The sequence below is a fragment of the Homo sapiens genome, chromosome 3 (genome assembly GCF_000001405.40).
Source record: "Homo sapiens chromosome 3, GRCh38.p14 Primary Assembly".
Taxonomy (NCBI): domain Eukaryota; kingdom Metazoa; phylum Chordata; class Mammalia; order Primates; family Hominidae; genus Homo; species Homo sapiens.
The window spans coordinates 135,827,633-135,841,936 of NC_000003.12; the positions used below are offsets into that span (position 1 = coordinate 135,827,633).

General features: G+C 41.5%; 1 long non-coding RNA gene across 1 annotated transcript; it reads right to left on the minus strand.

Moving 5' to 3' along the window:
- Positions 1–2,951: 2,951 nt before the first annotated feature.
- On the minus strand, positions 2,952–13,012 carry LOC105374124 (uncharacterized). The gene is made up of 4 exons (XR_924530.3): positions 12,561–13,012; positions 12,233–12,345; positions 7,767–7,821; positions 2,952–5,146 (listed from the first exon to the last, which is right to left on the minus strand). It is a non-coding gene; the product is annotated as an uncharacterized LOC105374124 (long non-coding RNA).
- Positions 13,013–14,304: the final 1,292 nt, after the last annotated feature.

A 14,304-nucleotide genomic window follows, 5' to 3' on the forward strand; every position in this document is an offset into this window, starting at 1 on the left:
AAGGACTATAAATCATGCTGCTATAAAGACACATGCACACATATGTTTATTGCGGCACTATTCATAATAGCAAAGACTTGGAACCAACACAAATGTCCAACAATGATAGACTGGATTAAGAAAATGTGGCACATATACACCACGGAATACTATGCAGCCATAAAATGATGAGTTCATGTCCTTTGTAGGGACATGGATGAAATTGGAAATCATCATTCTCATTAAACTATCGCAAGGACAAAAAACCAAACACCGCATGTTCTCACTCATAGGTGGGAATTGAACAATGAGAACACATGGACACAGGAAGGGGAACATCACACTCTGAGGACTGTTGTGGGGTTGGGGGAGTGGGGAGGGATAGCATTAGGAGTTATACCTAATGCTAAATGACGAGTTAATGGGTGCAGCACACCAGCATGGCACATGTATACATATGTAACTAATCTGCACATTGTGCACATGTACCCTAAAACTTAAAGTATCATAATAATAAAAGAAAAAAAAGGAAATACAAAAATTAGCCGGGCATTGGTGGCATGTGCCTGTAATCCCAGCTACTCAGGAGGCTGAGGCAGGAATCGCTTGAACCTGGGATGCAGAGGTTGCAGTGAGCCAAGATCGCGCCACTGCACTCTAGTCTGGGCGACAGAGCGAGACTCCATCTCAAACAAAAACAAAAACAAACAAAAAAAAATGCTTCTGCACAACCGAATAGTCATTTCTCAAAAGAAGACATATAACTGGCAAACAGGCCTACAAAAAGGTGCTCAACATCATTGATCATCAGAGAAATGCAAATTAAAACTGCAATGAGATCATCTCCCCCAGTTAAAATGGCTTTTATCCAAACAACAGGCAATAACAAATGCTGGTGAGGAGGTGGAGAAAAGGAAACCATTGTACACTGTTGGTGGAAATGTAAATTAGTACAATAATTATTGAGAACAGTTTGGAGGTTCCTCAAAACATTAAAAATAGAGCTACCATACGATCCATCAATCCCACTGCTGGGTATATACCCCAAAGAAAGGAAATTAATGTATTGAAGAGGTATCTTCACTGCCATGTTGATTGCAGCACTATTCACAATATCCAAGATTTGGAAGCAATCTGAGTGTCCATCAACAGATAAATGGGTAAAGAAAATGTGGTACATATACACAATGGAGTATTCTTCAGCCATAAAAAACGAATGAGATCTTGATTTGCAATGACATGGATGGAACTGGAGATCATTATGTTAAGTAAACAGGCCAGGCAGAGAAAGATAAACTTCTCATGTTCTATTTATTTGTGAAAGCTAAAAATTAAGACAATTGACCTCAAAGAGATAGAGAGTAGAAGGAAAGTTACCAGAGGCTGGAATGGGTAGTGAAGTAGTGGGATGGTGGGAGAGTGGGGATGGTTAATGGGTACAAAAAAAATGTTAGAAAGAGTAAGGCCTAGTATATGATGGAACAACAGGTTGACTACAGTCAATAATAATTTAATTGTACATTTTAAAATAACTAAAATAGTATAATTGGATTGCTTGTAACAGAAAGAAAGGATAAATGCTTGAGGAGATACATACCCATTTACCTTGCCTGATATGATTATCACACATTGCATGCCTATATCAAAATATCTCATGTACCCCACAAACATATACATCTACTATGTACCCACAAAAATTAAAAATTTTAAAAAAATGCCAGAGAGAGATGGCCCTCCCTATTGGAGCATGTCTCCTTCCATCCACTCACTGTAGAGGAACAAAGCCCTTTCTGAAATGTTTCTCCCAGGGCAGGAGACAAGAGAGGGAACTGAATCCTCACAAGCCTGTCCCAGGTTATGTATGATCTAAGGGTCTCATTTAGCTAGAAAGATCCAATTCTTGAGTTGTTCCAGGTTCCATCACTTCAAGCCCAAAGGTTTGAGACCTTTTAAGGACCAGCGGACAAGATATTTTTCTCCCTAATTGAAAATAAAAATACAGTAGTTTCAGAGGCATTTCTTAAGGTGTGAACTATTCTTCCCCACAACTTTCAGAGCCATTAAATTCTTTGAAATGAGGCATTGGATGATAACCGCTTTCTCTGAGTGGTTTCTGATGTAACTAACAGGAGCAGTCCTGGACTTCTAGGCATTCTGTTCATTACTCTGATAAGTATCATGTTTAAGATGAATTCATTAGGATGATATTTCATAATACATTAGGGAATGCATTATATGATCCAAATGTAAAGGTGATGAAGATTTCTCCTCCTCTCTCTTACCTGCTGCTGCAGAATGAAAGGGCACCATCAACCTGTAAAAGGCAATGACCTCATTCACTTTAATAACCTCTGCCCTTTTGCTCATGATATGTTCATTCTAGACCAGGGGAGAAAAATTTATGGGAGTATTTAGGTTCTGGTCTGCCACCACCTTTAACAATCTTAATTAATCTCTGAGATAATCATTCCCATTTCTTAAAAAAAAATAGGCCAACTTAATTAGGATGAGAATGCTTAAAAATTCTCTCTTCCTTCAGATTTCTACAAGTTTCTGAAAAAAAAAAAAGCCCCTAGTATGAAAATTAAGATCTGAGGTATTACAGCTGGTGAAGATTTGCAAAAGACACCAAAAGATGATATGTAACTAGATTTATTTTCTTTACAGTTTTATGTTAGTGCAACTTTATTTTAGTAGACCAAGGATTGTTCCCAGTGGGGAAGGGGCGCCAGGGAGCCAACCATCAGCACTGCTGCCAGTCAGATCTGTGAAGCAGAGTTGCTGCCTACACAGTACAATGTAAGGGCACCAGGAAATCCTTCCAAATATCCCTTCCTGCTTGAAAATGCCGTGAATGTCTTCTATGTGGAAGAGCCATTCCTTCCAAAAATATAGCTACAGTCCAAAGAATGTTCCCTAACACACCAATAATTTGAATCAACACTAGGATGTAATTGGTCACTAATGGGTTCTTCCATATAAATAAGTTTTTATTAAGGAAAAGGGGCATCTGGGAAAGCAAAGGGACACAAAAATAGGAACTAGAAGGTGATGACAAGTTTTTCTAAATCCCCTCATAGCAACCTGGCCTATCCCTAGCAAGACAGGTCAAATAAAACTACTTTTAGTAAATACAGCAGGAAGAAGTCAGGTCTAAATTCTGTTTCATATTAAGTGAAAAACTTTCTGTGACATGCCTAGAGACAAAGTGATCTTTTATAGGCCCTCCTGGCATGACCATGGCCCTATGCTTTTTTTGTTTTTTTGAGATGGAGTTTCACTCTGTCACTCAGGCTGGAGTGCAGTGGCGCCATCTTGGCTCACTGCAACTTCTGCCTCCCAGGTTCAAGCGATTCTCTCGCCTCAGCCTCCCAAGTAGCTGGGACTACAGGTGTACATCACCACACCCGGCTAATTTTTGTATTTTTTGGTAGAGACAGGGTTTCACCATGTTGGCCAGGCTGGTCTTGAACTCCTGACTTCAAGTGATCCACCCACCTTGGCCTCCCAAAGTGCTGGGGTTACAGATGTGAGCTACTGCACCCGGCCTATGCTCTTCTTTCCCCCACCACCCTACCATCCCTTCCCTACCCCTCACTCCCACCCTCCCCACCTTGCTGAACTGCTAGTCCTGCTTGTTCTGGCCTTTTCTTACCTGTCACATGCCCACTGCCCACTTTACATTCTCTGGGCCGAGGACAGAAAATTGGTTTCATCTCATCCAACTGATTAGGAGTGGCTACTTGGAGTGTGTTAAAAACTGAATAGTGCCTGAGAATTTATCCTTCTTGTAAGTTAAAAAGTTAGCCTGCCAAAGTTTTATGGATGCTAGTAGAACGCATGAGATTCCTAGGTCAGGGATAAAGGATCATCTAGCACTCACAGCAAGAGTAGCCACAGTGTCACCATTTTTACACTAGTTCCCCAAGCCTCAATTCCCACAGGGTGACATGAAGAGTGCCAGGTGACTGCCGTACACACAACAGGTGCACTGCACAAGAAGAACCCTGAGCTTAGGAAATCCAAATCTTTTAGAATGAATTTCAGCATGCCCTTTGCTCTGGACACTATCTTCTCTATTTTCCCAGACTGTAAGCAAACCTGTCCTTCTCTTGGAAAGAGACATTGGATCTTAGAAAAATAGTCTAAAACAAAGAGCAACAGTGAGTGCTTTGCTCATGAGATATGCAGATATGCAAGAGACTTGTGAAGGATTATCTCAGAACAATACTCACCCCTCATTTCTATAGCATCTTAGCTTCTGGAGAATCTTCCCATGAATCTCCCACTGTTGACCACTTCAATTAATCAGATGAGGTGAGGCTGAAACCAAATCTTTTCAATCTGTCTCATACAGCATTCAATTAGTCCAGTATCAACAGGACTTCAAGTAACAGGATGGAGCCAACCTGCAGTACTGACCTCAACTGTACCCCAAAGAGTCCCAGACCCAGCTGAACAAATCCTGTAAGCTATCGGGGTTACCTTAGAGATCCAGGTGGCTTTCTCCTTAAGTTTTTGTATTGACCTTTCAAATTGGCCCAAGCTATTGATCAAGACATAGCAGGATGGACTAGTGATTGCACAGCCTCTGCATTGGCCCACAGAAAAAAAGCCTAAGGCAATTCTGTCAACCATAACAACCCTGGCTAATAAGTTAAGGCTAATCTGAATGCTTTCCAGGACAAAGATAGTGTAACTAATCACTTTAGCTAACATCAGGGACAGGTTTTATACCGCCTTTTCTATTGGATGACTCCCATGATAAAGATAACTGTCTGCAAGGTGTGCCAAAATAATTACTCAATCTCTAGGAAGCTCCCGAGTGACCAAGGGTAGCTTTACTGCAGAGAAACAGTGCAGTTGTCTGAGGGCTACATTATCTACTGATGATGTTTCCTCAAACATTTGAAGGTCCCTTATGATCACCCCTACAGAGAACTTCTCGGTGCAATAATGCACTGGGCCTCCTTTTTGATGATAGAGGTCTGAAGAGATTGCAACTTTTCCTTGATTACTCTCCTTCACAGGATCCTTATTTTGTGAGAAGACCTCTGATTTTTCCAAGATTCATTAGCCAACTCTGCTGACAGAGGTGTGATAGCACTGCAGTCAGGGTCTTGGAGTCTGAGGCTTCTGACTTGCCAGCTGTGTTAGTCTGCTAGGGCTGAAATAAGAAAATGCCACAGATCAGGAGGGTTAAACAGCAGAAATTCATTCCTCACAGTTCTGAAGGCTGGAAGTCCAAGATCAAGATGTCAGCAGGTTTGGTTTCTCCTAAGACCCCTAGGCCTTTGCAGATGACCACCTTTTCACTCTGTCGTCAATGGCTTTTTTTCTGTGCACGCACACCTCTGGTGTCTCTTCTTCTTCCTCTTCTTACATGGATGCCAGTCATATTGAATTAGGGCCCCACATTTACGATTTTATTTAATCTCAATTACCTCTTTTTTTTTTTTTTTTTTTTTTTTTTTGGAGACAGAGTCTCACTCTGTCCCCCAGGCTGGAGTGCAGTGGCGTGATCTCGGCTCACTAAAACTTCCGCCTCCTGGGTTCAAGTGATTCTCTTGCCTCAGCCTCCTGAGTAGCTGGGATTACAGGCACCAGCCACCATGCTCAGCTAATGCTTGTATTTTTAGTAGAGACAGGTTCTCACCATGTTGGCAAGGCTGGTCTCGAACTCCTGACCTCAGATGATGCACCCCCTCGGCCTCCCAAAGTGCTGGGACTACAGGCATGAGCCACCACTCCCAGCCCTTAATTACCTCTTTAAAGGCTCTATCTCCAAATACAGTCACTTTAGGAGTCAGGGCTTCAACACATGAATTTTGAGGGGACACAGTTCAGTCTGTAGCATCAACCAACAGGACATCATCTATATAATGATAGTGGTGGACATGAAAGGGTAGAGGCACACTCACTAAATTCTAGTCCACCCCCTTGTAATAAATGGCAGGAGACTTTAGGTACACCTGGGAGAATACTACTAACATATGTTGGAGACCTTGAGTGTTAACAGGAACCAATCTTAATCCTTAGATGTCAGTGGTATGAAAAAGAAAGTGTTGACACATCCAAGACAATATGCCAAGTGCCATCACTCTGTGTAATAGACACAATAGCTGAATCTGGGTGCCTTGTCCTCCCACAGGTCTGAGTAGGATAGTGACTTAGGTACTCATATCCAACAAAGTCAGAAAAATTTAAATCCTTCTTCTTCCTAAAATTCCCCAGCATATGCAGATGAGTATGTATCATCTTTAATCTTCCTTGAAGATAGAAATACCTCATCCCACCTTTATTCATCTTTCTCCTTAAAGTAGCTGAAGTCGGGGTAGATAGAGAGTGGGGATCAGGGAGTATGGAGGGATGGAGTGGCTCCATGTATTAAATGAGGTTTTCATTTACATTTGATTTTAAGCATCATGGCAGTAGCTCGCGGCTCAACCAAATGAACTCCCAATGTTTTCTGCCCAACTAATACTCTGTATTAGGCAGAAGATCCTGATGGCCAATACCATCTATGTCAATCTTGGGAACCCCTTCGCTGAGCAGCATTTTTTTCACATTGCTTTTTGGTTGGAACCATGGGGATTTGCATCCTCTTGCTGACTCAGGCTTAGCTTACACAGCAGCAACCTTCATTGATGATGCCACCTTAATCCAAGGCATCTGTTATTGCCAGGGGTCAGTAAACTACAGCTTATAGATGAAATCCAGCCTGCTCCCTGCTTTTGTAAATAAGGTTTTATTGGAACAAAGCTATATCCATTCATTTACGTAATGCTGTGGCTGCTTTTATACTACAGTGGCAAAGTTGTAGTTGCAACAGAGACAGTATGGCCCAAAAAGCCTAAAATAATTACTATCTGGCTCTTTACAGAAAAAGTTTACTGATCCTTGTGCTACATTATTATCAAGATAATATCCATTAAGATCTGGCCCAATTTCATCAAAAGAGCTAAGGGGATTTTCCAGAGTGGTAGAGCCAGTCATAAGAATCTGTCTCAATTTCTTTGGTTCAGTTTCTCATTCTCTAATGAGTCACTTTCATTAGCATTGTAAACCCAATCCAGAACAGTTAGAGCCCAGATACTAGTCAATGTCTCAACCATGATTTCCCAAGGAAGTTTGTCTTTCTCAGATCAGGGAATCTCTCCAAGAGGGCCAAAGCTCAAATCTCCCTTATAGTAGTCAGAACTTTCTGAAGAAAAAACAACAACAACAAACACACACACACAAAAAACACCTGAGAGAGCTCTACTCTTGTCTCCAATGGATGTAAATTTGACATAATAAATCGCAGAAGAGGTGGAGCCACCAAAGTCTCAGCTATTGCCATTCTTCCTTAACACATCCACCCTGTCTCCCAAGTAGCCAGCCAAAGTTTTAATGATTTCTGCCCATCACATTCACAGAGTTTTCTCCTTTTATGCTCAGTCCAGGTATGCATCTCTGCAACTACTGTCTGGATGGAGTGGAAACTTATTTCCACTCAGAAAAAAATCTCAGCAGTAGCTTTTAAAATTGAGGCTGACCACTGGACTGGTGAGAAAGTCCTTTTGTCTGGGGGAGAATTAACAACAACCAGGGCACCATTTAGGTGTCTGTCTTTAATTTATTTCCTTATACTCATTCTGCAACCACCTCTCCAATGCCTCTCACTAACAGAAAATAAAATGGAAGACAATTTATTGTTCAGCTGACCATACAATTTAGTGAACATGTCCACTACCAACTCTGTGGACCTTACCCCGGCACCATTAGTAAACCCAGGAGGCACTCACCTTTCCTTTTCCAGAAAGTCATGTTTCTATTAGCATTCCATCCGCATCACCAAAACTGTAACAAAATGAGAGGGTCTGAGACTGTGCCCTACTTGTAAGCTAACAAGTTTCCCTAACATGATTTCATGGATACTGATAGAAGACACAAGATTCCTGGGTCAGAGATGAGGGACCATTGATTACTCACGTCAACAGAAGTAGCCAGAGTATCCGTATTTTTGCACCAGTTCCCTGAACCCCAATTCCTACCACTTGATGTGAAGAGTGACAGAGGACACAAGCACATACAATGAGATATGTTACAGAAGAATCCTGAGCTCAAGAAACTTGAATCTTTCATCCTTACTAGCATGCCTTCCCTTCACTCATGAGGGAAATACTATTTCTATCTTCTAAGGCTATTTGATATACAAATGTAGGGGCCAAGGAAAAACTTCTCTCTTCACCTTCTGAAAGTTTGCTGAAAATGAACTGGCAAAAGGCAGATTAATGGGGAGAAGGGGCATATAAGTTTATTTTAACAAGCATAGTACAGGGGACTCAAAAGAGAATGATTACCCAATAACCCAATGGGGGTACAGATGCTTATATACCGTTTCTTATAGGAAAAAGTGAGATGGGAAAATATGCAGTAAATGATTTTTAGAAGTAATGAATGGTCCTAATGCTCAGGCAATACATAATTCTTTTGGGGAACTGAATGGAACCTTAGAATAGACAATATTTTGAGACAAAGTTTGCCCGGGGCCTAGGTGTGGTACTTGATTTTCAGTCTCCTCCTCTGTGATATGAGTTTTAATCTTCTCTGGCTAATGAAACTTCAGGGAAGATATAGAAGGCAATTGTGTTCCTCTTTGGGGTCCAGTTTCTAGGTAGATAAGGGAACTACAGCCTTATCCTATACTTTGGAAGAGGTGGAGGACTGAGAGACAAGACATGGAATAAGGAGAATTCCCCAGGGAATAGAGGCTGCTTCTTTAGTTCAGCATGTCAAAGTGCCACGTTTGGGGGTATCTATTTCTAAGCCCCAACACAAACAATTTTGAAAAGATAATTTAGCACAATGGGTAGTGAGTGCCTCATTCAGAATATGTGTAGAAACATAACAGACTCATGGAAAATCATCTCCCAACAGAATGTAGATTGAGAAGGATTTACTGCATCCAGCCTTGATGGGGAAAGATGACATAATCAATTAGTGATTTCTGCCACTGACACTGAAGAAATTCTTGCAGCATTTATGCCACATATTGCATATTACATGATTATTGAGCAAAAAAATAAAAATATAATAACTAATAAGAGTTCAGTAGTAATTACAAAATAAATATATAAAAATAGCTTTTAAATATATCAGTAAGAACTAATTAACTAGTTAGAAAATATAATGAAAAAGGATTACTTTCAAAATACCATTGAAAATATGAAATATTCAGAGACAAAGTTAATAAGAAATATGCAGGACTAAATAAAAAGTATCATAAATTTTCACTAAAGGACATAAAAGTAAAAATTGAATCCACTGAGAAACATCATATGTTCCTAGGTAGGAGAATTTGCCACAATAAAGATGTCAACTCTTTCCCAAATTCATCTGTACAGTTAATGTAATGATAGTCTCAAAAATATGAGTGTTTGAGTTTAGGGAAGGGATGGGTGATTATCCAAAAGAAATACTTGTTTTTATTGATTGAGCCTCAGATGGATGGGTTGTTCTAGTCATCATTAGCTGGCCGTCCTAACTAGTTTGCCAAGTTTGCAGAGCAAATTCTTGATCTGCAACTATTTGTGATTTAGGGAGGGCATTAACACAACAGATTCTCTCAAGTTCTGCTTCCCCTCTCACTAAGAACAAGTTCGGTAGCTGCAGTCACTAAATTCTTTGCTAAAAGGCCAAAGCCAAAGCATGAAGATGAAGCCCTCATTTTTAAGGCTTGCTCTATTGGATTTTCCTACTGTACCCAAAATCCCACAATTGGTATCTCTGCAGCAGACCATATGTATAATGAATAAGGCAGCAATAGAAATGGAATTAATCATGACTCCAGCACCAATGAATCTCTTGCAGAGGCTAAATGAGGATATTTTAGTAGCTTTTCGGTGCTCTGTGTTTTGATTTTGTAGAGGCAACTAAAATGCATCAGTAAAATTGTGCTAATGCCCAGCACATGCCCATTCCTCAGCTACTCTAGGGTTTTGCTGACCTGAAAATGATCAGGAAAAAAATCTGAGTCTCCTGGCTCTCTTCCCCCTGGGATGTCATCTAGTCTCCAGATTCCTCTAATTCCAGCACAATAGCCACCCCCACAAGTGATTCCATGCCTGCCTGTGTCTTCTTTGCCTAATAGCTAATGTTGATCCAGCACCTGGGACAAGGAAGAAAAGCCCTGGGAAGGGGTCACATCACAGGAAATGGACCCTTTCCTACTTTCTCCACTCAACACAAAGCAGTGGTGAACATCCCCATCTTTTATAATGGCCAGGAAAACATATTTCCATTCCCTGGCTTCCATGGGCTTTACCTAAGCTCACACAAAAGCACAAACTAATCAAGTTGTAGGAGGTTCTAAAAAAATCCTACTTACATGATTTCATTTCAACTCTGATCACATTGATGCAGGACAATTACATAATTTGTAGAGCCTGGTACAAAATGAGAATACAGACCCCCTCGTTCAAAGATTATTAAGAATTTCAAGACAATAAGAGAGCACATTACACCAAGTATTAGGTACGTGCAGCTGCACGGGTTGCATATCCATGTAGCTGGTCCGTCCTGCATTTACATGTTAGGACTGCCCAAGGTTTCCTGCTTAACATTAACTCCTGTTTTCTGTAGGTTTTACAAGGCCTTGCTTCAGCATCAAGGATGTAAACAAGAGCAACATTAACTCCCCCAATTGCTCAAATGTGAGTTTAGACCTGGGGGCTGAATGATGTTGGGTGGAGGGCAAGAATCTGTGTCCAATCCAATTACTGTTAAAACAGCAGGTAAGCAACAGCAAGTAGCTACAGTTACAGCCCTATTGACCCAGCCCTGCCCCAGATTTACAACTTTGGTGACTTATAATACTGCCAGAAAGGTAAGACTTACAAAGAACAATCAGATCATCCCATGAAGTTTTAGCTGGATGACCCCAGGGTAGGAGGGCCTTCAAGGGCATTCCTGCTTCAGAGAAGAGTGTCACAGACTGACAGCTAACGAGTCCCATTCAGCCTACCCATATGTTTTGTTTGGTCTGTAATATTTTTTAAACTGTAAAATTTTACCTTAAAATCTAGATTTCTATCTTTCTAAAATAATCAGAAGAGCTATAATCCCTGGGCCCCCATCTTCACATGGCAACTATCAGCTAGAGTTGAGGAGCCACTGCCCTTTGATGTGGTATATGCTCTCCAGGTCCCCCCAGCCTCCAACCTTCCCTAATGTTCTACATTATCTTGATTACCATATGCATGATACCTGCCTGGCTCTGATCTTGAGTTTATGATATTTGGTCCTCATGGGCTCTTCCAGCTCTAAGAAGCCACTGAGGGCCCAGGCTCTACCATGGACCAACACTGGACTGAGTTCAATTGTAGTACAATTTACTATCATTTCTATAACCAACTATTAGACTTTCTGAATGTTACATGGACATGGGTATAAAGTATTATGCAAGATGCTGCTGCTGCTGATGATGATGATGATAGTGGTTGTCATTGTTAAGCACTTATCAGATGTAGTATAAAGATTGTATTATATATTATCTCATGTAATTCTGATATATAGCATGGAACCCGTACACAGACACCCTCTGACTTAGGTGTCACCTACTTTACCCCAATTCCAGCCACCAGGTGAGACACTCCCTCCCCTCACTATACCTGTGTTCACCAAACCCTGCTATGCCAGCAGGATACTGTGTAATGTGCTGCCTTAGCAGCCAGGCAATTCAGCTTCTGCTGCTTCCCCATCTGTCTGGATTGCTGAGCCCCAGTAAGTCAGATCCTGGATCTACTTTATGACTTCTGCATGATGGGATCTGAGAGTGTTACAACCGCTAGTTAGGTATCTGCTTCCCCAACCCAACCTATCTCAGGTAACTTCCCATAATGGAGAAGGGACACTACCAAAGCTAAGTGAGTGGACCATGGGAAGGATCTCTGAAGAGAACCCAGGAACCAAATCTGACTGGCATCATCACCAACTACCTTCCCAGCCTCCAAACCAATGAGAACCTCCCTTTCTTCTCCCCCGGGCTCACATCCCCTCCATGTGCCCCAGGACTTGACCAGTTGTTGCCCAAAAGCAAGCTATACCACCAGGTTGCCTCCTGAGATGCTGCTCTACCCCTTCAGACTACCCATGTGAGCCTTCTTCTTCTAAACTTCAAAATAACCTAGGCCCAGAGGACCCTCCAAGGCACCTAACCTCGTAGTAGGCTAGTAGTAACCACACTCCATCTCTATTTGAGGGTACTAACCTGAGTAAGTTTGAGATCCTCACACTGAGGCTACACTTAGGAATGCTTTTGCAAGATTCTTGCTTAAACTTCTGTTCTTTGGAGCTTTAGAACTAGGTGGACATGCTGGGTTTCTGGACAAAACAAGATTATGGTTCCTATTAGCTCCCAAGGCCTTTGAATGAGAAAGGTTCTGTTTTCTTCAAATGAGGGCCTCCTAAGTATAGTTGGACCCAATTGAAAACCCAAAGCCCAAAAGCTGTTTAACATCTGAGCAGGTTCAGGATCTGTATCAGTTCCAGCAGAGATGTTCAGGCAACAAGAGATTAAATTGTGAATCTGAACTCACCAGAGAGTGATTGATAAACCAATATCCCATATTATCTCCCAGCAGGATCATCACTAAAAGAACCCATGCTGGTCAACAGCACTCAGATGGCCAAATTGCAGATTCTCTTCTGGGTAAGCAAAGACCACGAGCCAGGGCAGCCGGATGTTCTTTCAGAGAATTACTTTCTAGCTCTGGTTGCTTGATGAATTGCCTTTCTCTGCTGGAGGGATATTTTAGTCCAAAGAACCAGTACAATTCATCTAAAATCAGATCACACTCTTTTTGGGCAGTGTTAGAGGAAATCTTTCAGATTTTTAGTCTCCTGTGTTCCTTTCTTAATAGTCCTTATCAGTTTCCTTATCATTCAAAAGCCACTGCCATTATGTGATCTTATGTTACAATTTCCCAGATTACTGCTTGTCCTACATTGGCTACATTTGTGAGGGCTGCTTCCCGGAACATGTGCAAGGACAGCCATATCCCAATCACAATGACTTATGACTTACTGCTCTAAGCCATTGTGATTTCACTCTGCAGCCTTAATTTCCCAGAATGGCATTTCTTAACCTTGTTCTGCATGGGATGCAGCTACAAGGTAATGGAAAAAGACCTGGAACCAGAATGGGAAGGCCTGGGAAGACAATTTCCTTGAAAAAGTTTCCGTATCCACAGTTGTAAATGGATATAGAACTGTCTTGCCTGCCTATTTTATTACTGAATGGAAAAACTCTTTGTAAAGCTAAGGTGCTAAATAAAATGCTGGGCTATCTCTTGTCTGCAAAGGCCCAGTGGATTCCAGCCCAAACATACAGACTCAGGGGCCCTTGCTCTCACATTGGCTTTTACTGTTTTTCTTAAATCTAACCGGCAACAAAGCATCCCCTCCACCCTCACCCCATACTGTCCTCTGGCAGCCAAAAGGAACAGAGGTAGACTGGGATGGGTAGAGGAAGAGGGAAAATTTAAACAGCAAGCCCAGGACTATCAAGTTATTCAGTCATGATCTGTTTGGAGCAATCTCAGCCAGCACCCCAGACACAAACAGAAAGTAATAGGAAAACACTGGATGTTGGCATCTCTAAAACCTGGGCCCCACTACTTATTAGCTGTAAGACTGGAAAAATCACTTTTCTCTCAACCTCTTAATAGAGACAAAATACTTACCTACTTGGATTTCCTGGGGATTAAATTAAGACATGTGAAGCCCCTGGGACAGAGCCTGATCTGCAATAGATGCTCTACAGAAATTGGCTTCCATCTTGTAAGGTGACACAGGAAGCCAAAAATGACAGCCTCCCTGTTTTAGTCAGAACTAAACTCACTACCCCTGGATCATAAGGCAAAGCACTCTAAATCCTATTGTCTTCTTTATCAGGGTTCAATTGTTTATAGCAACTAGGAATACTCTAAAATGGTGTGCAAATTGTTGTGAGAGAATGAGTGTGTTCATTTTTCTGGGGAGAAGATCCACAGATTTTAAAAGTGTCCTTGGCCCATCAAAATGTCAAAGGTCTCCACTGTACCAAATGTACTTTTCCAGAAAGCAAACATGCCTCCAGCCAAGGAAGGGGTAGACCTTTCTCTCCAGACTTGAGGCTGTGCCACAGACCAGCCCATTCAGTGGGTTCTGCTTCATAATCTGACCTCTATGATTTGCAAATGTCCTTGGACAAATATAACCATTATGAGAGTTTTGGGTAATTTTCTGTTGGTTTGCTTTGATTTGGTTTGGTTTGGTTGTTGCTGTTGTTTTCAACTTCAT